The 23,855-nt window shown below is 45.3% G+C and overlaps 1 protein-coding gene across 3 annotated transcripts in view; it reads right to left on the bottom strand.

The window, feature by feature from the left end:
* Positions 1-18,571, bottom strand: part of LMX1A (LIM homeobox transcription factor 1 alpha) — a 154,849-nt gene extending 136,278 nt beyond the window's left edge. For 2 of the 3 annotated variants that reach the window (NM_177398.4, XM_011509540.3), the window contains exons 1-3: positions 18,211-18,571; positions 17,340-17,437; positions 14,932-15,118 (exon numbers count right to left, since the gene is read on the bottom strand). In NM_177398.4, coding sequence (NP_796372.1) covers positions 14,932-15,118; positions 17,340-17,415 — 263 coding nt within the window. In that variant the 5' untranslated portion in view covers positions 17,416-17,437; positions 18,211-18,571. Of the gene's footprint in view, positions 1-14,931; positions 15,119-17,339; positions 17,438-17,925; positions 18,079-18,210 lie in introns of those variants that run through there. The other variant, NM_001174069.2, reaches the window with a different exon arrangement.
* Between the last annotated feature and the right edge of the window lie 5,284 nt (positions 18,572-23,855).

Consider the following 23,855-nt stretch of genomic DNA (forward strand, 5'->3'; position numbering starts at 1 on the left):
TTTGTCCCCAGAAATTAGCACAATCTGGTAAAAGTCAGGAATATGAGCTCCCTGGATTCCACAGCATGTGACTTTATTGATGGTGGGCCTTACCACATTACAGGTAATGTGAGCTTCAGAACCCTCTTTCTCTCTGAATAGCCAGCAATGTCAGGGCAAAGCTGAAATCACTTCATCATAACAGTTTGACCTCTGCAATACTGCACACCATTAAATTTTTAAGGGAGTTCATTGGGAAAGTCCTTTAATCCTTTAATAATTGAGTTGAGGGAAAGGGGCCGGTGATGGAGAGCATTTACCTGAGCTGATATTAACTAGGTTTGGCTACTAATGGCTTTCCAACAATCCCACTGTGTCCATGTTGCCATTTAAAAGAGTGCATTTCATTTGGCCCTTGCTCTTAACTGTCAACAGGGAAATTGAAAAATAATACATCATTAAGTGTTGCAATTTGTATTACAGTTCTCTACCCAAGTCTCCCTTCTAGCTCTATTGAGCGCAGTCCAAACTAAGGTCTAACAACCAGTTGACAAGTAGAAAAATCCATTCCATGAATTAGTTGGATGTCTATGATATCAAATAACCTGTCACTAATATATTTTCCACTGAATTTACTGGCCACAGAAGCAGAGCCATTGGAAAATACTTGGCTTCCTTGGTAGCACCAAGTTCAGTTTAATTCCCTTCTAAGCTCAGAGGTCTGGCCCCTTATGACCTTGTCACTGTTTCTTTTCTATGGTTATATGGATATGACAGCCCTAGACCTAGGGAAGTATTCCCACCTGACCATACACTGTTCTCCCTCTCCCTGTCAAAACAATTAATTCTCCACCATTGCACACATCAGGCTGTTTGTGAGCATGTTCCACACCTCAGAGAGCTCAAGGTAAAGGCACTGCAATAAATGGGATCATCTCAAAGAGGTTAAATGATTTGCCCAGGCCCAGCCAGCCAAAGCAGAGGCAAAGACAGAATTAAAGCTCAAAGATTCTAAAAACCCACTGTTATCCACTAGTCACCCTACTCTCCAGTCTGGGGAAGTAAACATATTAACCAACCAAGTGGACAACGCTACAAAACAGCAGTAGCTGGGTACAGACTGTGTTACTGCAGTCTGGTTAACAAGGAAGATGGTACCCACACCCTGAACTCCCTTGCTTTGAGAGTCCTCCCAAGCATCACAGAAAGCGAAAGCTCTTCAACTGACAGGCATGTGCATAGGCACAGCTGACTGGTTCCAGGCCTGAGGAGGCTTATAGACCTGTCTTGGGGAATTGGCCATGTGGTGGTATACTTCTGACAACATGCAATAGAGTTCTGCATGGATCAGGAGCAAAAACAAAAAGAGGTCAGGCCGGTGAGCTTCGCATTGAGATGACTGGTATCTGAAGAAGAAGGAAATAGGTGGGAGCCTCGCTCTACTGCCATTCCCAGGCCCATGACCCAGGAACGCATTGGCAAAGCAGCTCTGTGAGAAGCTCTCACCTACTGAGAGGCCTTGAGGAGTGATGGAAAGCAGACCCACCTCTGCCAGCCCCTGTACTGCAGTGATCAGTTCTAACAAACCCACAGGGAAATGTACAAAAGAACAAAGGGAAGGAGTGGTTGGGAAGGAGCAAAGCAGGGGCAGAACCTGTGCCCCAGATGTGCCCCTCACCCTTCCCTAGGCTTCTCCTCTATCACATGGATGCCCCACTGTCCCTCCTGGATCTTCAACTTCCTTCCTTCCCTGGCTAAACTCACCTTAGCCATCAAGCAGGCTCAAAACTACCTCATCCCAAAGCATCTTCCCTTCATTCTATCTCTACCCCAAGTGGTATCTTTGCCCCCCATCTTTTTCTCACTACGCATCTTCTTGAAAGAGTGGCCACATCACTCCCCCTATTTCTTCAACTTCTTTTTACTATATAGCCTTTATATGGTATAAAATGCTGTCCTGTACCCTCTATGCCTCTAGCAAACCTAGTTTGTTTGGTTTTTTGAGACAGGGTCTTGCTCTGTTGCCCAGGTTGGAGTGCAATGGTGATGGTTCATTGCAGCCTCAAACTCCTGAGCAAAAGCCATCCTCCCACCTCAGCCTCCCGAGTACATGGGACCACAGACATGTGCCACCACACCTGGCTAATGTTTTTGTTTTTATTTTTTTAGAGATGGGGTCTCACTGCTGGTCTCAAACTCCTGGACTCAAATGATCCACCCACCTCAGCCTCCCAAAGTGCTGGGATTACAGGCATGAGCCACTGTACCTGGCCAAAACTACGCTTGGTAAGGGCAAACAGGAAGCCCTACTTCTTGAAATTCCCTACTACTGCCCTGCCTTCCAGAACTCCACTCACTCTGATGTTCTCCCCTGCCTCTGTGTCATCTCATTACAGAATCTCCCAAAGCTCTTTGAATTCTGGTGTTCCCCCACAGAGTCAACCTTGGCTCTCTTTTCATGTAGTACACCCTTGGGCATTCCCCTCTTCTGATATTTATATGACAATGTATCCCAAAGCTTTGTGTCCTGGCTAGTTTCCAGATCTTCTTTCACAACTGCCTCCTGGACATCTCCACCTGACTGTCCCACCAGTAACTTAGTATAGCATGTTCACAGTTATCTCATTATCTGCTTCTGCCTGTCTCCTGCTCACTTCTTAAATTCCCTCTATCAGGTACTGATGTAACAGTCCACCTTGTCCCTTCTGGATCATCTTCAAATCTTCTCTCTTTATCACCCCTTTCCTCAGTCAAAAGTCATGATGTTCAACTTATCCTACGTCAGGAATATTTTCTAGGTCATGTTTGTCCTCTTCATTCCCAACCTCTCACCTTAATTCATATCCTTATTATCTCTTGCCTAGACTATAGCAACAACTATCTAAGTGGTCTCTGCCAGTCTCTACCCACACTCCTACCAGTGCCCCAGTTTGCCACCAGAATTACCTTTCCAGAAAATAAATATGGCCACAATATTTCATGCTTAGAAATCCCTGCTGGCTGCCTACTAACCACAGTATGAAACTGAATGTTCTTTGTATGTTACACAACACTCATAGTGACTTGGCATGATTTTGCAGTCCACAACCAGCCATACCCTAAATGCTCTTGATGTTGTGGCACCACCATGTCCATGACCAGTGACCACAGTAACTAGCACACTTTCTTTTCCGGGCTCCATCCATTTGCACATGTTTCTTCTTCCACTTGGAATTCTCCCATCATCTCCTCTTTTCCTACACTCCCACTCATCCTGCAAGAGCCAGTTAACATGTCACCTTTTCCATGAAGCTTTTTAAACAACCCCAAGCAAGTCACGTAATTAATTTATCTATTCAACTAACATGCATTCACTAAATACTATGCAAGATTATGGAGATGTAGGGATTATAAAACAAAACCAAAACAAGAAGTGTCTTCCTTCATAGAGCTTATGGTCTAGTGACATAGACAGACAATAAACCAAATATATATATATATATATATATTTCAAATTGTAATAAGTGCCTTGAAGATGATGAATAGCACATAGTAATACAGAACCAAGGAATTTAGATAACCTGGTTTTCTATCCCTGTGGCCATGCCTTTCTTAAAATAATGTTATTCTTTTTTCAAAGCATCTGCTTAATTTACATGTCTAAACAGTTTCTGCTAGACCTTTAGTACATGAGTGATTTGTTTTATTCATTTTTACATACCTGACACATACAGGAATTTAATACGAATGTTTGATGATTAAATGAATGAATGAGTGATTTAATTAATGAACCAACTGTTTATAAGAGTCTGTTTAACTCTAAATTAGAAAATTCCACATGCAACTAGGTAAAGTACATTCCAGTTGCTCATGTGTTACCTGAAATCTCTAGTTTCATTAAATACCAGTTTACAAACATTAAATTCAGACACATATTTCATCTCTCCAAAATGGACTAGAACTAGTTTTAAGAGAATAAAATTTCAGCAATGGTGAGAGAAATAATACAATACAGGAATACTCAGTTTCCTTAAAAACTGGGATTCCATTATCACTTTTTGATCCAGCTAGGCCAAGTAAAAAACAAGAGGGATGTCAACAGTTCTGGAAATCAGCCTCCACTGGGGGCACAGTGGGATCTTTTCTAGCTAAGGCTGAGACTTGTTTGAAAATACAACACAGTTCAGAAGAAAACTTGGAAAGGGGTTATGCAAGGAATGGATGGACAGCTGCTGGCTGGTCCCGATGGAAGTTATGCTGGAAGCTCCGGATATGATATTCAACAGTTCTGCTGCCAAATGTGCAGACAAGCTCCCAGGACAAAAGTCACCAATAGCAAACCCTGGGAGCTGGAGAGAAAGAAAATGGATTCTGCTTGCCTTTTTGTCCTTCTTCTGGGGGCTGGGGGGAAGAAGAGCTATGCTATATGCTAGAGGGGCAATAGAGATCAATGGGGTTGGTGTGGGATAGGAAAGGATGGGCTAGGACAGCTTTGTGTGTGTGAAGGAGTTTGACAAACAAGAGCAATGATTGTATATGAGCTGATTTCTCATACAAACAAAGAGGCAATCCCCAAATCCTAAAAACTTCCTTTAAAACCACAGAATACTATAAACAGCTGACCATCGGGAGGCTGCCTGAAAGCTCAAGTATCTAGCAGGTGGGGACTTGTTTTCCAAGAGCTGGTTCAACAGGACAAACTGAGAATTGTGATCTCACTGGGGTGTGAACACCAGAATTCAAGCAGCAGATGGTGTGATTTAGTGGAAAGGCCATTGGACCAGGAGTTAGAGGCTGGGGACAGCATCCCAGTTTCCTCTTCCCCAACAGCGTGACCTTGGGCAAGTTGTTAACTTCCCTGAGCCTTTATTTCCTCAGCTATAAAATGTAAGAGGAGAAAACTGAAAACCTCTCCTTACCTAACTTTTAAAACTGTTGTGAGGATCAATAGAGATAATATATGTGAAGGTTCTTTGAAAATTAAAAAGGATACATTTTTTCAGCAAATCATTTTACAGCATTTTCTATGAGCCAAGCATTGATCTGCATGCATTTCAAATATTAAACAAAAGTGAACCTTTGAGTTTGGTACTATCATTATCCCTGTTTTAGAGAGAAGAAATGGGCACAGAACAAGTAAGACCCTTGCCCATGGTAACACAGCTAAGGAACAGCGGGACAAGGATTTGATCCCAGATACTCTGGTTCCTAAGTCTATGCTCTTAACAACTACACTGTCTTGGCTTATCATACACAGCTTCTAAAACTATGTATAAGCTTTTACTCATATATAAATAATAATAATAATAATAATAATAATAATAATAATAACACCCAATCCTGTAGAGTACTCTACACTTTACCAAAAGGCCTTTCAGGTTAATTATCTTCTTTAATTCTCTCAATAACTTTATTCTTACATTCTATTGTATAGATGAGAAAACCATGGCTTGGACACCTGTTGACAATAGGACATGCGTTTCAAATTACTTTTTCAGTAATGGAGAGAGCTATGCAGTGTCCAAACCACTCATACCCACCTGTCTATCCCCTTCCAGCTATGAATATGGGTTTTTGAAATGGAAGATCCCAACCAAAGACAAAGCGTAAAGAAAATAAAGCCCATAAGAAAAAAAGTGGGTGCATAATACTGGCCAGCCATTCATATAGATAAACAGGGAAGCCTCCTACAAAGTGTTATTTGCACAAAATTATGTCCTCCACTAGTGGTTCCAGTCTAGAGCCTAAAATTCTACCCTAAGATAGTCATTCCTTTGACTGAACACCCTTCCGGTTAAAAAGTATCTTCAGAAGAATAGAACATTATCTTGTCCATCCCAATGTGAATTATTTCATAACATTCTCCCAATTTGACAGCTAGCTAAGAGCCAACTCTAGCCTGCACTCAAAGTAATATGAACCATAAAAGGTCACAAGATGGGTTCAGAGCATGAGACAAGCAAGAAGGCACAGCCAAGCTGAGATTCTGAAAATGGGGCTTAGGAAAACAAGTGCTGTGGTTGAATCCAGAAATTCAAGGTGCACAGAGCTCCAGGGAAAAGAGGAGTGCAATCAAAACTCCAGCCAAAAAGAGGAGAGAGGAGTCTCCTGGGATGTTCTTCCCTTCTGGGTTTCCAGAGTCTACCTCATGGCACTGCCAACTGGTTTTCATCTCTGAAGAGCTATGCCTGCATCCCTGTGAAGACGGTGGCTGTCATTACCAGAGAACACATGCACAGTAGGAATTCCTGCCACAATGTGAGGAGGAGCAAGAGGAGAAAGAGTGAGGCGGTAGCCAATAGCAGGGGAGGAAACTCTAGATGGTTATGTTTAAAAGGATTTGTTCCACTGTCAAAACCAGAAAGCTCTCCCCAAGAGCCAGCTTTAGAGAAGGAAGCCTGCAATGACAGAGAGGAGGCAGGATGTTATTAAGCAAGCTCTTTGGAAAGGAGGCTGAAATAAAGGAAGAAATATTAGGCAAAAGGCAGGTGTGTCCATAAAAATCCACCTCTGGACTGTGATGGACCAGGAATGCCTGGGGGATGCGCAGAAACTAGGCTCTAGTGTTTCTCAAAGGCTCCTAAACCACCCTGATTCTCTAGGACAAGGACAGCTCTTTAAATCCAGGCCATCAGAGCACTTGCCCATTCCTGATTCTCTCCAGTGACTGGATAGGACCCAGTGACTGCCAAGCTTGTGAAACTGCAAAACTGCAAAAACTAACACCTTCTCCTCTCAACTGCCCATTCCCTTTGCAGGGCCCCATGCTCAGGAGAGACATCAACCTCTCCCCACCCTGGAGCTGGGGGCCCCAGGCCAAGCTGGCATCAGCTCCGACTCAGGCTCAGGCTGTCGGGTGCTCAAACAAAGACATATTCGGACCCTCCTGCAGAGACAGGGGGCCTATTTCTGGGCCCAGGGGGAGCTGGCCTTAATCTGCTGCACAATGAATGACAACAATGCTAAGAATGAAAATATGGTTTGGGGGGATAGTCCCCAGGAGCCCAACATTTTGGTATTTAAAGGAACTTTAATGAGCTTAAGAGGCTAATCTGGAGTTCAGGAGGGGGTGTTTTGTTTTGTTTCGAAAAGTCCTTTTAAAGATTCCTGAGGCTTGATAGGGAGGAGGCAACAGAATTGTGAGTCAAGGCGTGGCTGCTGTGCAACTGAAGGGGTGGGATGGAATTAGAGAGGAAGCTGCTCCAAAGAGCTCTTCTCATAGCAGCAGTAGAACCTGGTGCTAAGAGATGAAGGATGCTTCTTTCCAGGCAGGAGAAGTGTGATGTTCAGAGAAGCAGCCAAGAGTTGAAAATGAGTGATGTGTTTACATCCTACCGATTGCTAGCCAGGCTTCTGGCCAAATGACTCTCCTGGTTTATTGGTGACAGTATCAGACTCAGGCACTTGGCACTTCTCTCACCCACCAAAACACACCCACCTGTAGTAGCAGGACATAATCCAGCATCTACTAAGGTGCCAGGCACAGTCAGAAAGGTTTTTAGAGGCCCGTAAATGGTTACCCAAAGAGTAATGGACGTGAGGTTATGCATACCTGAGAGTTACGCTACTCACCGTCTATTTGCCTGAGCCCCACCCAACTGAGTGGTCACATGACTGTTATTTTGTGCCTCTAAAGGCTAATTAGGCCAGGTGCAGTAGCTCATGCCTATAATCCCAGCACTTTGGGAGGCTAAGGTGGGAGGATCGCTTTGAGGCCAATAGTTCAGGACCAGCCGGAGCAACATAGCAAGACTCTGTCGCTACTAAATAAATAAACTGCTAATTAGAAAATCAAAAGAGCACTAACAGTCCACAAAAATGGTCTGGGCAAAAAATGAGGCAGTTGATGAAATAGAGTTTAAGCAACATCTGATGGATGGTTGAAAGAGTCAAGTTAATAAAATTCTACAGGGTATAGGGGAGGGAGAAGGGGACAGAGGCAGATGTGAAGTCCAGATACAGCATGTGGTCCATTCCCAGCAAAGCTGGACACTTAAGATATTTTTAATACGATGGAGTTCAATCAAACCTGTAGGATAAGGCACTCCAATCCATAGTGGCCAGACAGCTCTCAGAGATAGGCAGATCTATCTATCACTCTATTATACAACAACAGTAATAAAACACAGATCGATCTATTGGTGCAAGGAGACGTTGGAGGCCCAGAGAGTCAGAAAAGCCAGACATATTTGCTGTTATCCAAAAATAGGATCCCCAAACTGGAATCTTGAAAGGCTGGAAGAGATCAAACTCTTTCATGTGACTTCAGTTAGAGGACTAGGAAAAGCACAGTCCACTTTGTATTTTTAGTTGTTATGACATTATGGTGCAATAATGGGGAATCTGGCAATCGTTTCATTAAATTCTAGCTAATCTGTGCATGGCAGCAAGGCGACAAGCTCTACAGATGATTTGGTTGCCTTGGTTCACCACTGTAAGAACAGCACCGAGGTAGGCTTTCAAAATCCTTTTTTAACTACCCAGATGGGGCTATTTGTGACAGGACCAAGTATACCCACAGGGTAGGAAACCGATGAAGGGCCGCAGTTTTCTTCCTTACACCATGTCTTCACTAATACTTCAGGGTTTCTGCTGCATTCCAGTTGCATCTGCTGTCTAATGCCAAAAGAAACTTAATCCCTATCCTAAGTCTCATTTTATTTATTTTCAGTAGTGTGAAAACAAACATGTAGCAAGATTACAGTGTTTACACCTCCTTTTTAGCCGATATAGCTCTAATCCTCCCGTTAATTAACACCAGGGCCATAGCAATTTTATTAATTTCATCTTGGTTAAAAATATAGACAGATAATTGTGCTTTACTAAAATAACAATTTGACATTTGGGGGGTGTTTGCTTCATTTTAGCAAGACAGTTGGCCAGATTTTATTTAATATATGACAAGGAGACACAAAGCTGCAGTCGACATTGGTCAATGATAACGTAACTAATTTTAGTTGTGATAAAATAACTAAAACACCTCATATCATGCTAGTCAAAGGAGACTAAGGAGAAAATGTTAATCCTATGGGGTATCAAGACAAAGTCTCCCTCTCTTTCAGAAAACAGGCCCTTCTAAGGGGGCACAAAGGGGAAAAAAGGCATCTTTTCTCTCTCCTCTCTGATATTTGCTCCAGAACCTTTTCTACACTTTGCTCTCAAAATTAGCAACTTCCCCAAACCAAATCTGAAAAGGCCACTGGCAGTGACTGTCCTAATGTTCCTAAGAGACTTCTTGAAGAAAAACATATAGAGTATTCCTAAGAGGAAGCCTCAGGCATGCTGGAAATAGGGCTGAGTCCTCCCACATAGGAGCCTTTCTGCTTCTATGCAGAGGGTGGGAGAGACACACCTCACCCCATCCCTATATCTCACCCTCCAAGTGGCTTATATGGGAACTTCTCTCTGAAGATGTGAAAGAGCATTTACAAATCCATGTCAGAAAAATCTTCATAAAAAAGAAAGAAAGAAAATTGAAAAACACTGAAGTAGAGCTAAGGTTTCAGAGTTAGGGCAGAAATTATTTTTAAATCTTTCCCTGTGGATGTGATTGCACTTTTTTCTTCATAATTCATTTTCCAGTGTTGTATAACTGTACTTAATAACCAAGATCATAACATTCAGTATTGGTTATTTTGAACTTCATAAAATTCAACAATGACATTTTGTAAAATGCATTTATTCTAAGATGCTTTAGTAAATTTCTGATCATATCATGAGTATTTTAAACCTTTGTCTACTTTCTCCCTTCTAAACACTATGACCCAAATAATTTCTTTGACCATAAAAGAAAAATTAGCTGATAATGAAATAGTTGGAATTGTTGTCATTAGAGAAACAGCTCCTGCTCACTCTCTCCAAAAACCTTCCCAGAATTAAAAAGCAACAATCAAGAGGCTTCCCTGAAATTAGTAATGGTCTTTTGATTAATACAAATGTTATAAATAAGAAAAATGAAAACAAAAAGCAAGGGAACAATGAATGATCAGGAAAGTTATTCACACTAAAATCTGAATATCAAAAGCTATTTCCTAGCCAGGTAGGTGTAATATGTAAAACGAGACTGAATAAATAACTTTTAAAAATGTGTTCCATTTATGTAAGGATCAAAAGAATCCCATAAGCCTACTGTAAAAAGGAATGTTCATATCTAGTATTTTAATTCCCAGAATACTATTAATATCTACTCCTGCTATCTAATTTTATTTCAAAATTTTAAGTCTTAGATTCCAAGAAAGTCTTACCCAGGGACCAATACATATAAAAAGAGAAAACACCTCTGAGCAAAGAATGTTTCCAATCACCCTCCAAAATTAAAAAGAGAGAAAAAGAGAGAGAGATTAAGTGCCTGCACAAACACAGCCACGGCCCATGGACGGTGCTTATGCCGAGCTAAGCCCCCTGCAATTTAACACAGACATCAGTTTATTGCCTAGCTGTGTTTGATTTTTATATTCCTGAAATTTTATTGTGCCAGGAGTAGGGACAACAAAAGATAAAGTAAAGCAAAAATGTAACAATTGCCTCTGTCATTTCATCTGTGGGCTCCTTTCATGAGTAACTGCATGCCCAATTTTGATCTCCAAGTAATGTCACAGTAATAAAACCAAACTGACTCCTCCTCACACACACACACTTCCTCCACTACCTTGATAAAATGCAGAATTAGTTCATTACTGATGCTAATAGATATCATTACCTAAGTCGTTTTCACCACAGGGCTGCCAATCAGCGGGTCCAAAGAAAGATGCAGAGAAAGCTCTAAGTGTGACAGCCACTTTCCCCTTTTTCAGTCCCTTTCTTTGGAAAATTGGTCTTCTCCAAAAGAAAGGGAAGAAAACATCCACTGGCTCTCTGAGGAAAGGTTTCCCAAGGCCTGTGATTTGCTGACATGCGGGGAGTTATGATGTTATGAGAACAGCCCTGATGACAGCAATACTATCCCACACTGCTCCTAGGATGTCCAGAGCAATCCAAGCGATCATGATAAACTTCATATGTGAGGGCAGAGGGCTCCGCCTGACCCACAGAGCCAGGCACATGAAAGAAACAATAAAAACTTGATTTAACTGTGGGATCCCTTCTAGAGGGCTTAATTATCTATTGTATTACCACATTCCCGTTATTCAGCAGTCTCTTCTGTCTCAGACTGAAGTCCAACTGCAGTATTTGTTTGGAACAAATTCAGGGAAAACTCCAAACTAACCAGATCATAGAGGACTCAGTTAAATAGGGAACAACAGTTATATAAATAGAAGTCCCCTAGGCTGGAAAATATTTTGATTGTCTGCTAACTTTCAGGAACGTTGAAGACAGTTGAATCCACTTTTAAAACATCTACACCTATGGTATCCTCATGTTTCATATGACATGGTACAGATTCATCAATTGTGTAAATGTTGTCATCCCACCAAGCTAGCAATTTTTCCATGTTGACATGTCATAACAATTATAGCCTTCAGTTCTTAATTTCTATACATTAGTAAATCAGTGTTCTACACTCTCACCTTAAATGCTTTTTTTTTGGTAATCAGAAGATAAATTATTCCTAACGGCATCGCAGTATATGAGAAAAATACTTAATAAAACGTCCCGAAGTCTTCCGATGCATAGTTGTGTGTGCAAGACGTCACTGTCAATTCTATTTTTTTAATTAGAAAAACTTGGTGTTTGACATTGTAAAGGTGTAATAGCTAGTTGAGAGAATGAAATTTTAACTTTTTAACTGGTTGCCTAACACCATAAAGAGACAGCTAATAATTCAAATGCAAAACTGCCCAACAGCAAGAAATGCACATACAGATGGCTAAGATAAATGTGATAAACTTGCTTTGTTAATATTATGCCTATGATTGACACTGAAAACTGTGCATTCCCTATATATTCTTTCATTTAAATGTGTAGAAATAGCATTTGAATTTCATGAATTTTGGAAACCAAGGCACTGCCTGCATATTCATTTTTTATTAAGTGCTCCCTAATTTACCATCAACATTGTCCTACCACTTAACTTTCACCTCATTTTCTTCCCATTTACTTTGTTTGGGCCTCAAATTTTTCAAAGATCCACCAAAAAAAAAAAAAAAAAAAAAAAAGCAAAGCTATGTTTACAAATGTATTTTTTAAAGAGGAAAATGTCCTTTGTAATTGCTTCAGGACTATTGTCTACAATTGAGTTGTATTCCCCCTGGAGGATAAATATCTGGCCATTCCAGATAGCTTCTGTGCAATATCTAGTCCTACACTCTAAATGGAAGAAGCCCTTGAGAAATACTTGATGGCAAGGACAACACAGATGCAAAAAGTGTTGAGCTATAAGCCTCCTGAAGGCAGGCTCTGAGACTTTTTCTCATTGTCCTCTCCTCATCTAGCCTAGCGTCTTGCATACAGAAGCTCCATAAAAGCTTACTGAATAAAGAAGTTTGTCCTGAGCCTATTTTTTTTTTTACAAAACAAACAAACAAAAATCTCTCTCCTTTTTCTCCTACAGATACCAACACGCAGACTAAGACCATTAAGATTATCAAATATATTAAAACCCTATTTTATTGGAAAAAGAATATAATTGGGATGGAGGATAGAGAAACGAAAAAAGGAATTTTAAAAAGGAATAAATTAATCTAACAAGCAACTGATGGGCTAAGCACAGGCCAGTACTGCTATGATGCCATGAGCTAAAGAGGACAAAAACCTCAATTCTGGAAATCTATGGTTCCAAAAATATTTTTAAAATAAAATTAAAATCCTTCACTGAAATGTCAGCACCTCTCTGAACAATGTAGCTCACATCCCTCTGTAAAATCTTCTTGGTTCTGGCTAACAGCTGGCAAGTTGATCCCTGCAATTTTCCCTTTGCAGAAATAGCTTTGTGAGGAGAGAACTGACCCTCCTGGGCTAATAAGCCCAAACCGCGCCAAACCTGGAGGGCTGAAATGGAAGGGACATTGTTGTGTTAAGTACTTTACAACAACTGTTTCTTCTCCTCTTGACACAGCCTGACTTCCTTAAAGAAGATTTGACTGGCCAGACAGCTGTGTTGACCCTTAAGCCTTCTTTGATTCGTGATTTTTTTTTTTAACAAACAGAATAGAAATTCACAACCCAAATCCTTTCCTAAGCCCCAATACTTGTGAATTTGCTAGTGTTGTGCCTGAAGGATGTGGACATTTCAGTAATCTATAAGCAGAAAGTTAAAGATTGGGTCTACACAATACCAAAAGCTTTCGATGAAAAGCGAGAGAGAAAAAAGCGAGCAATCAGCCAGAAGCTTTATTCAAAGGTGATACTTGAAGTTATGTGGGCTAAATCTATTTAACTACCTAAAAATTACACTTTTCACTCAGACAACATGTCAATAAACAGACAACCAAGAATACACAGTCACATCTTCTCTCAAAAATGTTATCCATAATGATCACTTCATAGGTTGTCATAGGGAGTTTTCACTTCTTTATATATTTCTGTATTGTCCAGCTCATCCAAAATCCAGCACACGTTTCTTTTAGTTCTGAAAAAAGCCAAGCTATTATCTTTTCAAAATGACAAAAGAAAATGCCTAGTACTCTCTCCACATGGGGTTAAAATTCGAGAATTTTAGGGCAAAAAAGCGGAGTGGCAGAAACAATTTTTTTGTGTGGTCACAGGGTCTAATCACTTTGTCAAGTTTTTAAACTTGCATAGCCCCAGACAACAATAATAAATAAACTTCTATTTATTCTCAGTGCTTTTTGTTATACAGAGACTTCTCCCGTTCAGCCCCTCTCACTGTGTTTTTATATAACATGATAGAACTGCTTTTCACGCACGCTAACCCTCCTTTGATTATCTTCATGTAATGCTGTCCCTTTCATTCACCAGTGACAAATGCAGAATTCTGCGCGTGCACGCGCGCGTCCACACAGTCAACCTACACCAGTCCTAATGCACAAAAACAGAGACCTCTGGATCAGCCACTTTTCTTCAATCATCTCCAAAGCCCTGCAAAGCCAATACACTTATTAATTAAACATTTCGCAAGGAAAAAACCGTTCCCTCTCCTTACACCTCCTAAGCTCCTCCCGGCACGCCCGGAGAGAATAAGGAAGTTCTTCTACCTCCCACTTTCTGGCTTCATCCAGGCTTTAGTGTTATAAAAATCCAGTTTCGAAATATCCACTTTCTTAAATTCCTGCCTCCCAGTTCTCCTCTGAACGTACCAGAACGTTCATGTGGACAGGAGGGAACTGAACTTGCTCCGTGGCAGAAGAGCGTACCCACACCTGAACTAGGATGGCGGCACAGGTTGAAGGAGAGGGCTTCAGTTCAGGCCCCAACTACTGTCCTAAAAGCCCCTGCATCCGAGGGTTCTGCAGAAAACCAGGAAGGCGACAGTGAAAGGGCGAACGGGCTGTGCGCTTAGCTCCGAATGGCAGCAGAGCCATTTCCGAGCCCAAACTGTCCGGACTCCAGCGAACAAACCCGAGCGGGAAACGCGCACAGGGCACAGGGGACAGAAGCTGCGGGGTCAATACAGTCTCACCGCAAGGCACAGGCGCGACGCTGGCGCGGACACCTGGGTAACATGGGGTGAGAACCAGCAAGGAGACACGGGGTCACTGGCAACCCGCAGGGCACCCCGGTAAAAGAGGGAGACCAAGCTCGAGGGATTCCAAGGCTAACAAAGAGTGGCCTCTGGAAACGGCCGAGTCAGAGAAAGGGGCCTGGAAGGACCAGAAAGCAGGCGAGCAGACCGTGGAGGACAGCCATTGCGCGCACTTCTGCGGGACTCGGGCCACTGCTGCGCGCACCCGCGCGGATCTCTGCCCTACCACCTTCCCGTGAGGGGCAATGTACACGACTGCGCTGAAGGGAAGTTCTGCTCGCTGGGCGTGTCTCTTGGGCCTTCCAGAAAAGGACTAGGGTAAAGGAGGACAAAGTCCTCGACGCACACTGATGCCAGTGCGCGGGGAGCGCTGCGGGGGTGCGGCCACTTACTTCTCGTAGTCATACTTGCAGTACAGCTTCTTGTCCCGGTAGAAGCAGGTGGTCTCCAGGGGCTCTTTGCAGGAGGCGCACTGCACGCACTGCTCATGCCAGAAGCTGTCGTTGAGCCGCAGCAGAAACCTGTCCAAGATGACCCGCTGACAGCCCTCGCAGACAGACTTGGGGCTCACCGCTCTGCCTGTAGCCACAACAGACGTTGGCGGGTGAGCAGCCCGGGCAGGTAGACCATGCCAAACCTGGCCGGGACCCGCTCCTGATCCCTTCACATCCACGGATTCCCCCAGCGCCCCCCACCCCAGGGAACTCCTGCTAATCAACCAAGCTGAAACCTGGAAAAAATCAAGCCAAGTGGCGTTTCTAATAAACGGAGACTATGTGAGAAGGTTTAATTCCAAGCGGGGGAGGGTATAGAAATCAATAATTGGCCTTTAATTAACAAACATACCCAGGTATGCTCGCAAACGTCTGCACATCCTGTAAGATTAAATTACATACAAATTTGTGCTCTCAGGTTTATTACGTCGTAATTAATTATTAAATCACTATGCCTGTCTCTACTGACTGTTTTAAAAACTGAGAATGCATAAGAACAATTTGGATTTTTCTTTGTTAAAACGCAGAGTTCTGTTCTATTTTTTGAGGGGGAACAAAATTTTCTCTTTTCTTCCTAAAAAGTCCTGGGGGTACAGAAAAATACCGTCTCACTCCGAAGCAAACCTAATATTATTCAAACCGATGAACCCCAAACTGCTGCGTCTTGACTGGCATGCATATTGCACATGGGTTTTTGATAACTAAGAAGCGTCAAAACAGAGGGAGGGAAAAAAATAGCGGAAGAAGCAAGCCGCTGAGTGTCCCGGCCGGGATTCCCGATGCCAGGCGCGTTCGGCAGCAGTGCTTGAGGGCGAAACGGGCCTCAAAGTGACTCAGCGGAGGCAGGAAATCCACTCTTTGCTACCCCTTGGACTTTGTGTTTTGTTCCTTTAGTTTGTGGGGGGCGGAGAGGTGGTTCAGGTGGCGACGCTTGGCCACCTATATTGGCACTTTTCACAGCTATTTAAAGAAGGCCTTGTCCCCCAGCAACAACACTCTTGCCCTTGTCCCCCCAGTACCAACACTCTTGCGCTCCCCATTTCCCGGCTGCACTCTTCTCATTCTCCCCTTCCGAGAGGCCCGGCCACCGGCTCGGGAGCTGGGCCGGTCGCTTTGGGAGCGGATGAGGAAGGTTAGGAGAAGCAGCGAGATAGATCCCAATTTTACAATTCTATTTTCTTTCGGTAGGGTCTCGGCGTCCTGGGCCACGTTGAGAGCGAACGTGGGCCGAGCGGAGGACACAGAGTAAAAAGCGACGCCCGCTGTATACATAAATCCGCACCCGCTGCCCGCCCGGGTACTGCCTGCTCTGGCTTCCGCTCTCTTCCGAGGCTGGGCAAGTCCAAAAGTTCCCGAAAGGGGGGTTCAAAGAGGGGCGCTCAGTGCACGTGATTTCGTTTCATCTAGGGTGTTGGGGGTGGGGAGATTCCTCACTGGATTTGGTTTCTCCAGCAGAACTGTCTCATCCTCCACATTCATGCCGCTCTAGCGGTTCCGAGTGAAAGAGGCAAGAGGTTTAAAGGACAGAAGGAAAACTCCCTCCTGCTAAAAATAAATAAATAAAATAAAATAAAATAAAATACGGGCTTCCCAAACTTGAAAAGCTCCAAGGGCAGAGTGGGTGGGGGAGCCGTAACCAGAATCTCTGGCTTCAGCTCTGCAAGACCCGTGTGTGGACACTCTTCCGGGGTCCTTGACTCGCTGCTCCTCCTCTGTCGCTGCAAAGGAGTTGTGAGGGGGGACCCACAGGACCCGACATCCAGCTCCAGTTAATTAACGCGGAGCCTAGGGCCCAGCCGCGCGGTCTAATCCCCGCGCTGCGTTGCCTACTGGCCCAGAAAAGTCTCTCTCGGCCTTGCCCATGGCTGAAATTGGGGCTGGAGTTGGTGGGGGAGAGAAGCCTCCTCGAACTTGGGCGCTCCAGGCCTCGGGTCTCGGATGCTATTGCCTCTAGGCCGCGAGAAGAGGGCGGCATTTATGAGACGTCGATCAGCTCCGAGATTAAAAATCCAGCCCTGGGTATTTTTAATCACTTGCCACTCAGACGCCTACGAACAAGCTCGCCCGCCCCTCGCGGCTTTGGGGAATTCGGTGCCCAGTGCGTGAGGCCTGGGGCGGCTTGTTGGATTTATTTGGGTAGGGACGACCCACAAGCACTGACGGACAGATAGTGATGGGGCTCAATTTAGTGTATGAAGAGGGGCGCTAGCTTCCCTATCGCGGACCAGGTCCCAGAGAGCGGGGCTCCAGAGCTCAGCGCCAAGCGGAAAGAGAGTGCGCCCAGGACGCACGGCCTGAACACTCACCCAGCAGCGAGGAGAAGGAGGCCGAGGTGTCGATCGCGCTTTGGAAGTTCTCCTCCATCTTTAGGCCGTCCAGCATGTTCGGGCCGGGCCGGGAGGACCTGTAGAGGAGAAGAAACGATGCGTCTGACGTCCGTGCCCGCTGGGACTCGGCGCCAGCAGCCACCGCACTCCTGGGAAAGAACTGAGGGAGTGTCCAGGGCGACCAGAATCAGCCAGGAGGATAGGGTCCAGCCAAGAGAATGTAGGGTGGGAGGAGAGATCAGTCACAGCGAACTGCTCTGGCTGATCTGATTTCACTTGAAGTCAACACGTTATGTACTTAGGCCTCCGCCCCCCAACTGCGTTTCTCCTTCTCCTGCCCCCCTCACCCCCACCTACATCCCTTGCCCCAGGTTTTCCATCCCGAATCCGACTCCGCCCCAACCTATACGAAGGTGGGCCCTCGGGACGTCTCTGCAGGAACGCAGCTACTGGGGTATATTGGGTATATAAAGAGTGGGTACCCTCCCTCGAGCGACCGGGTCCAGGCACGCGGGACGATGGGGTTTGCAATCCCGCGTCCCAGCCGCCCCGTTGCGGCCCTCACCTGCCCCAGGTCGAGAAGGGGCACTGTAAGGGACCCGGAGGGCGTCCCGCCCGCTTCTGGACTCCTGGCGCTGCGCTCTGTTGGGGTGCGCGCAGGAGCCGGTGTGCGGGGCGCGCGGGGAGGTCCTCCCGCCAGTCGGCCAGTGCCGGGAATGTCTGCAGAAGCAAAAGAGTCGCCTCGGGGAGGAGCCCCGGCTGGCCCGGCTCACTCTTGGATGCATTTCAAGTCAACTTTCAGAAACACGCCCGCCCGAGCCACAGCCTAGGCACGGGCAGCCTTACTTACCTGGTAGGCGAGCTCTCTCCCAGTGACTGGAGCAGAGAGAAGTTGCGGAGCGCTGCTGGAAGCTTCTGCCCGGGAAGGCGTCGCCCCCGAGACTGCAGCCGGAGGAGCCGCCCTCGGCTTCGGAGCGCCGGGGAGGGAGCCGGAGCGAACGCCGGCCGCTGGCTCTGCTCCTCGGCGCGCCCAGGCTGGGCCGGGACGTGGTCGCGAGCTGCCGGCCTTCCCGGGACGTCCTACCAGCCCGCGTCGCTCCTCAGCGGGAGGAGAGGGCCAGTTGCTTCTCCAAGGCTAGGAGGGAAGGCAGAGGCCCAGGGTCCTGGGTGCGAGTCGGCCCTGCTTCGCCGGGGCGGATCCTGCAGCTTCTGACAGGGGCCGCGGCGCTGCGTGCGCGGCGGCGGAGAGGGGGTGGGGTGCGCTGGGCGGGGGGCTGGCAGCGCGTCCCGTGGCGGGGCCGTGGTGCTCCCTTTCCCAGCCTGGCTGCGCGGCCACCACACGGCCGCTGCCCTCTGAGCCCCTCCGCCTCTGGGAGCTCTCGGACACGCTAAGTTTCCTCCCCTCCACGTGTAACTGTTACCTCGGGGCGCTCTGGCCCGGTCGCCCCCCAGTGCCCCTCACCCCGACTGGGCCTTTGCGGAGATGTCGGCGCCTCCTGGACAGCGGTGCCGCCACGAGGATTCCCCCGCCGCTCTCCAACTGCTGCTATAAAAGCGCTGCAATCCTTACCCGGGCCCCGGGAAGCGCTGAGAAGCTGTTTAGCGCCAGTAGATGTGGGCCCAGCAGCTCCTAGCTCCTCAAACCCCTCATCACCCGAGGGCTCATGCCAGTTTCCAACTTCCTTTAAGGTCGAACCATATTCACTCATGGGGCGTACAGAGGCCATGGGACTCACGGCCTAAGAATCATGCTCTTGGGAGACACTAGGTGGGATCTGCCCCCCAGATGATGAACTTGCAATGACACTCAACAGGAAATCAGGTAAAGGGACATTGTTAGGGGAACAAAGTATCTGGGGAGAAATGTGAATTATCTGCACCTCCTAACTTTAATTTACAATAACAGACCTTTAGCCCCCTCCAGAGCAGGAATAAGGCCTTATCCGTCTGTATAGCCCAGGAGGTAAGCATGTTGTGTGACCCCAAGTGGATGCTCAATAAATAAATTACAATGCTGGCTAGCGTTTATCGTTTATTTTGTGCCAGCTTTGTTACACAGTCACCTCATTTAATCTTTACAACAACCCCCATGAAGTGGAGACAATTGTTGTCCCAATCTTACAGTTGAGGGAAATGGAAGGGAATTCATGGAATCCGAGTCCCATCATCTGAATACCATGGGAAGGTTCAGTTCAATTCAGTGTGATTCTCTGGGGCACCTTCAGTTCCTAAACTGAACTGAACTGAGATGAAATTGGCAGGCCGTTTGACATGGTGAACTCAGGCAGAGGAGATGCCACATAGCCAGGGTTTTTCTATTACCTCCTCCAAAGACAGAGCCACTTCTTTATTCCTAAAGAAAAAGTGCTGGCAGCAACTTGCTCTAATGTGCTTAGGAGCAGCGACCCCACTAAGCACTAAAAAAGCCATTCTAAGTGCTTTCTGCCAGCAGGCACAAGCCAAACACTGAATATGACTCCAGAAGAAAGAGGGGAAATGGCAAAGAGGCTAATACGTTATATTCGAATGCTGCTTTACAGGCATTTTCACATACATGATTTTGCTTGATCTTTACAGCAAACCTGTGAGGTAGGCAGAACAGTTTTATCTTTTGTTTCAGATGAATCTTTGGAGCTTAGCACGGCTGGGAGATTTCCCTGATGTTGCCCAGATGGCTAGTGGCATGTCTCCTAACACCTGACCTCTGTCCTTTCTGTCACCCCAGGTAGAGCAGGGTGTAAAAAAATACAAACTACAAGTATTATTAGGATAATATGTGAAATAGAAGTTAAGCAAGAAAAAAATGGAATAGGGCAGATACAACCATAAGGAATGTTTTTATGTAAATACCCGGCAGAATTTTGGTTTCACTAAAGGTCTTATATGAAATATATGAAATACATTTTAACTAGTGGTAAGACTATTCCTTTTAGTGAATATCCTGAAAGTAGATAGATTGTCATTTGACCTGAAACTCAAATCTTTCAAACAATTCTTACATCCACCCACAAGGCCGCTTGATTAGTGTAGATCACACAGGTTTTTGGTGAGAATGTCTCCCCAGCCATTGGGCACTTCAGGATGGGGACGGTGCCTCAAAAATCACATCATAAGTCATATCACTTTTAGTGCAGACCTAGACACATACAATTGATGAACAAATGCCTTTTACTTGGTTGAGGAATGAATAGAACTCTCACTACAGTCAGAAGGCACTGCAGTGAAGGGTCAGGAATCAAAGGACCTCCGTTCCATTCCCAGCTTTGCCACTGAATTGGTCTGGGCCATCAGTTCACCTCTTTAGATGTCAATACCTCTCTGGAATGAAGGGTCTACATTATGTGGTTGGTCAGGCCCTCACAGTCTAAAGTCTGTGAAACCAGTCCAGTGGGGTAGGCAGTGGGGTAGCTTTGGCCAGTGGGGTAGGCAGTAGAACCAACAGATCCATATGAGGTGCTGAGCAGTGGTTGCCTAGGTATAGTCTTGGCTGATGTGTTTAAGTGATGTGTCTAAACCAATAAAGATAAAACTTATTTATTCGGAGTTTTCTCTTTTGTGATTTATTTGCCCTCTTTCAATGAAGTAGGAGTCATGAATCCCATTCCTACCCAAGGATTGTTTCAGTTTGGCCTTATCCAACTCAGTGACATGGATGGGTGAGACGATCACAGGTGGATCATTCTGACCCCTCTATGAAAGATCCTCCTAACCATGCCTCGTGTTTTTCCTTGTGATTTAAACTCAAACACTTTTATTTTACCTTTTAAATGAAAGAAGATGCCACAGAGCCACTGCCCAGAAGCCATTTATGAAGAATCAGCCATCTTCTCCCTTTTATCAAAAAGAAGTACTCTGAGAATACATGGGAATGAGGTGAATAGGCTTCAGAGGGGACTCAAAAGATTACACGTTTAGAGTTGGAAATGATTTTAAAGCTCATGTGGTCCAACCATTTAGTTTGTAATGGATCAAAATTCATTTCCCTAAAGTTTCCACCCTCTGTTCCATTGATTCCTCGGGGCTAGCCATTCAGGAAGTCAAATCCTGCCTCTAAAACTTTTAGATGAAGGCAGAGCTGGCCTCACTCTCCTGCCCAGTCTTCGAATCTGATCCAGTTTTCCTGTCTCTTATAAATTATGGCACCCAGGCCTGCTGTGAGTTTCCAGTGATAGTGTATTCAGGGTGTTTCTCAAGCAATATAACACCCATTAATGTTCCTGATTTTGTATGAGCATTTTCTTTTTTTTTTTTTTTTTTTTTTTTTTTTTGAGATGGAGTCTCTCTGTGCCGCCCAGGCTGAAGTGCAGTGGTGCGATCTCGGCTCACTGCAAGCTCCGCCTCCCGGGTTCAAGCCATTCTCCTGCCTCAGCCTCCCGAGGCATCCACCACCACGCCCAGCTAATTTTTTTGTCTTTTTAGTAGAGATGGGTTTTCACCGTGTTAGCCAGGATGGTCTAGATCTCCTGACCTCTTGATCCACCCGCCTCAGCCTCCCAAAGTGCTGGGATTACAGGTGTAAGCTACCACGCCCGGCCTTGTGTGCATTTCAATGGCTGCTGTTGACTCACACTTATGTGTCATTAATAAAACCTCCTCAGTCCTTTTCCACATGGTCTGCTGGTAGGGCCCATCTCTGCCATATCGCGTTTGTACAATTGATGTTTGAATCCAAGTGTGAAATTTATCCCTGCTAAGAGACAGGTAGCTGTTGTATCAGAAATCTTGCAACTTCAAGCAGATCCCAAGAGATCCAGGAACTATGTCTTAAGCCTAGTGCCTTGTTTTGAGAGAGAAATATGTGGCCCTTGCCAAGCTGGTCTGGAAGCGCCATCACTGGAGGAAGACAGGCCAGGACCAATCAATGGGTGTATCTGTGGGTCCCAGGGGTAGCAAGACCTTGTAACTTGGGGATACTTCTCCAAGTAGAAGGTTTCCCTGATCCTGTTCCAATTCTGTCATCTGTCTTCAGTCCAATAGCGATTTGTAGAAGATGGGGGTGGGACATGCCAAATAGCTGTGGAGTTACCCCTTCTATGGCAGAAAACAGAGAAGCAAAAATATCAGATACATGAGTCTTTGTGGCTGAGATTTAGGGAGAGGAGTGAGGGTAGAGGAGAGACCAATGCTTGGTGAGAGGGAAGAAAAAAGGGAGGAGGACAGACATCCTGCTATAGAGTGGAGATGACAGGAACACATTTTTTTACTTTCCTTTTCTCGCTCTCATTTCTGTGTTTTATTAAGGGAAATACAAAGGGAAAATTGTGTTATTTGTTTAAAAATGTCAAAGTGCATTTCAAGCAAGAGGAAAAGAAGCAGGAACATTACCGCCTAGAATGGCAATATTCTAACGAGGACAGCCAAAGACTGGCTCATGGTTGTGGGGACACACTTGAACTACACACTACCCTTACCTGGATTATTTTCATGTGAATCCCCCAGTCCTGTGTTGACATTCAGATCTCTCAACAGAGCTGGAGGACCAGGTGCCTCTCATGTTCTAGGGTGAAAGGGCCATCCCAAACCAGCTGCTGGAATAGGAGGAAAGTCTGACAATGCAAATGGGGATATTGTTCCCTAAGCTTAAGGCAGATTCTCCCTCCAGCCTGGCAAGGACAGCCCTAGGCAAGGAGGAGACTTGTCCAGGCTAACAAGAGTACCATTGAAAGCAGCACATTCTTTGGACCTTGCAGTAGAATTATCTACATGCCCACTTTATCTTCCTGTTGTCTCATGAGCTCCTTAAGAAAAGGTTCCACGTCAGACTCCCCTGTGATTCTCCCCAGCATGGCACAGTGCTTCACATACTGAAGAGTCTCCATGAATGTTTGTTGTCTAAGTACAAATGCCCTGAGGTCATCGTCTACTTCATGCCATAGCTCAGCATGCCTTAACTCACATCATAAGTCACATCACTTTTAGTGCAGACCCTAGACACATACAATTGATGAACAAATGCCCTTTACTTGGCTGAGGAATGAGTAGAGCTCTCACTACAGTCAGGAGTGGAAAAAGGCCTGAGTTCAAATCCCAGCACTGACATTAGTAAGCCATTTAATCTTAAATTATTCAACCTCTCCATGTTTCAGTTTCCTTATTGGTACAAGAAGAGGAATGATATTCCCCCGGAGTTATTGTGACAGTTAATAGTGACAATGGCTGTGAAACATCTAATAATCTGACCAACTTAATGTTCAGACTCTGTAAGTCTCCTCTACCATCCCTCTGAATGAGTTTCTGAAGGGAAATCACCTTGGCTTTGCCCTGTTCTTATGAGTAAACAGGAACCACACCAGCATTCAGGCAGAGTCCCTGTGCCTAGTGACAGCAGTTGTCTTGGTGTAACTGAGGGGTTTCTGTGCCTGGGATAGGCTGTCCTCCATGGCTGGGCTCATGGCATTGCAGGGCAGTTAAGAAGACGGGCCCTGGGGACAGACAGACATGGGATTGGTTGTTGACACTGCCACTGATGATGGCCTTGGACAAGTTCTTCAATCT

This window comes from Homo sapiens, chromosome 1 (genome assembly GCF_000001405.40).
Source record: "Homo sapiens chromosome 1, GRCh38.p14 Primary Assembly".
NCBI classification, from domain to species: Eukaryota; Metazoa; Chordata; class Mammalia; order Primates; family Hominidae; genus Homo; species Homo sapiens.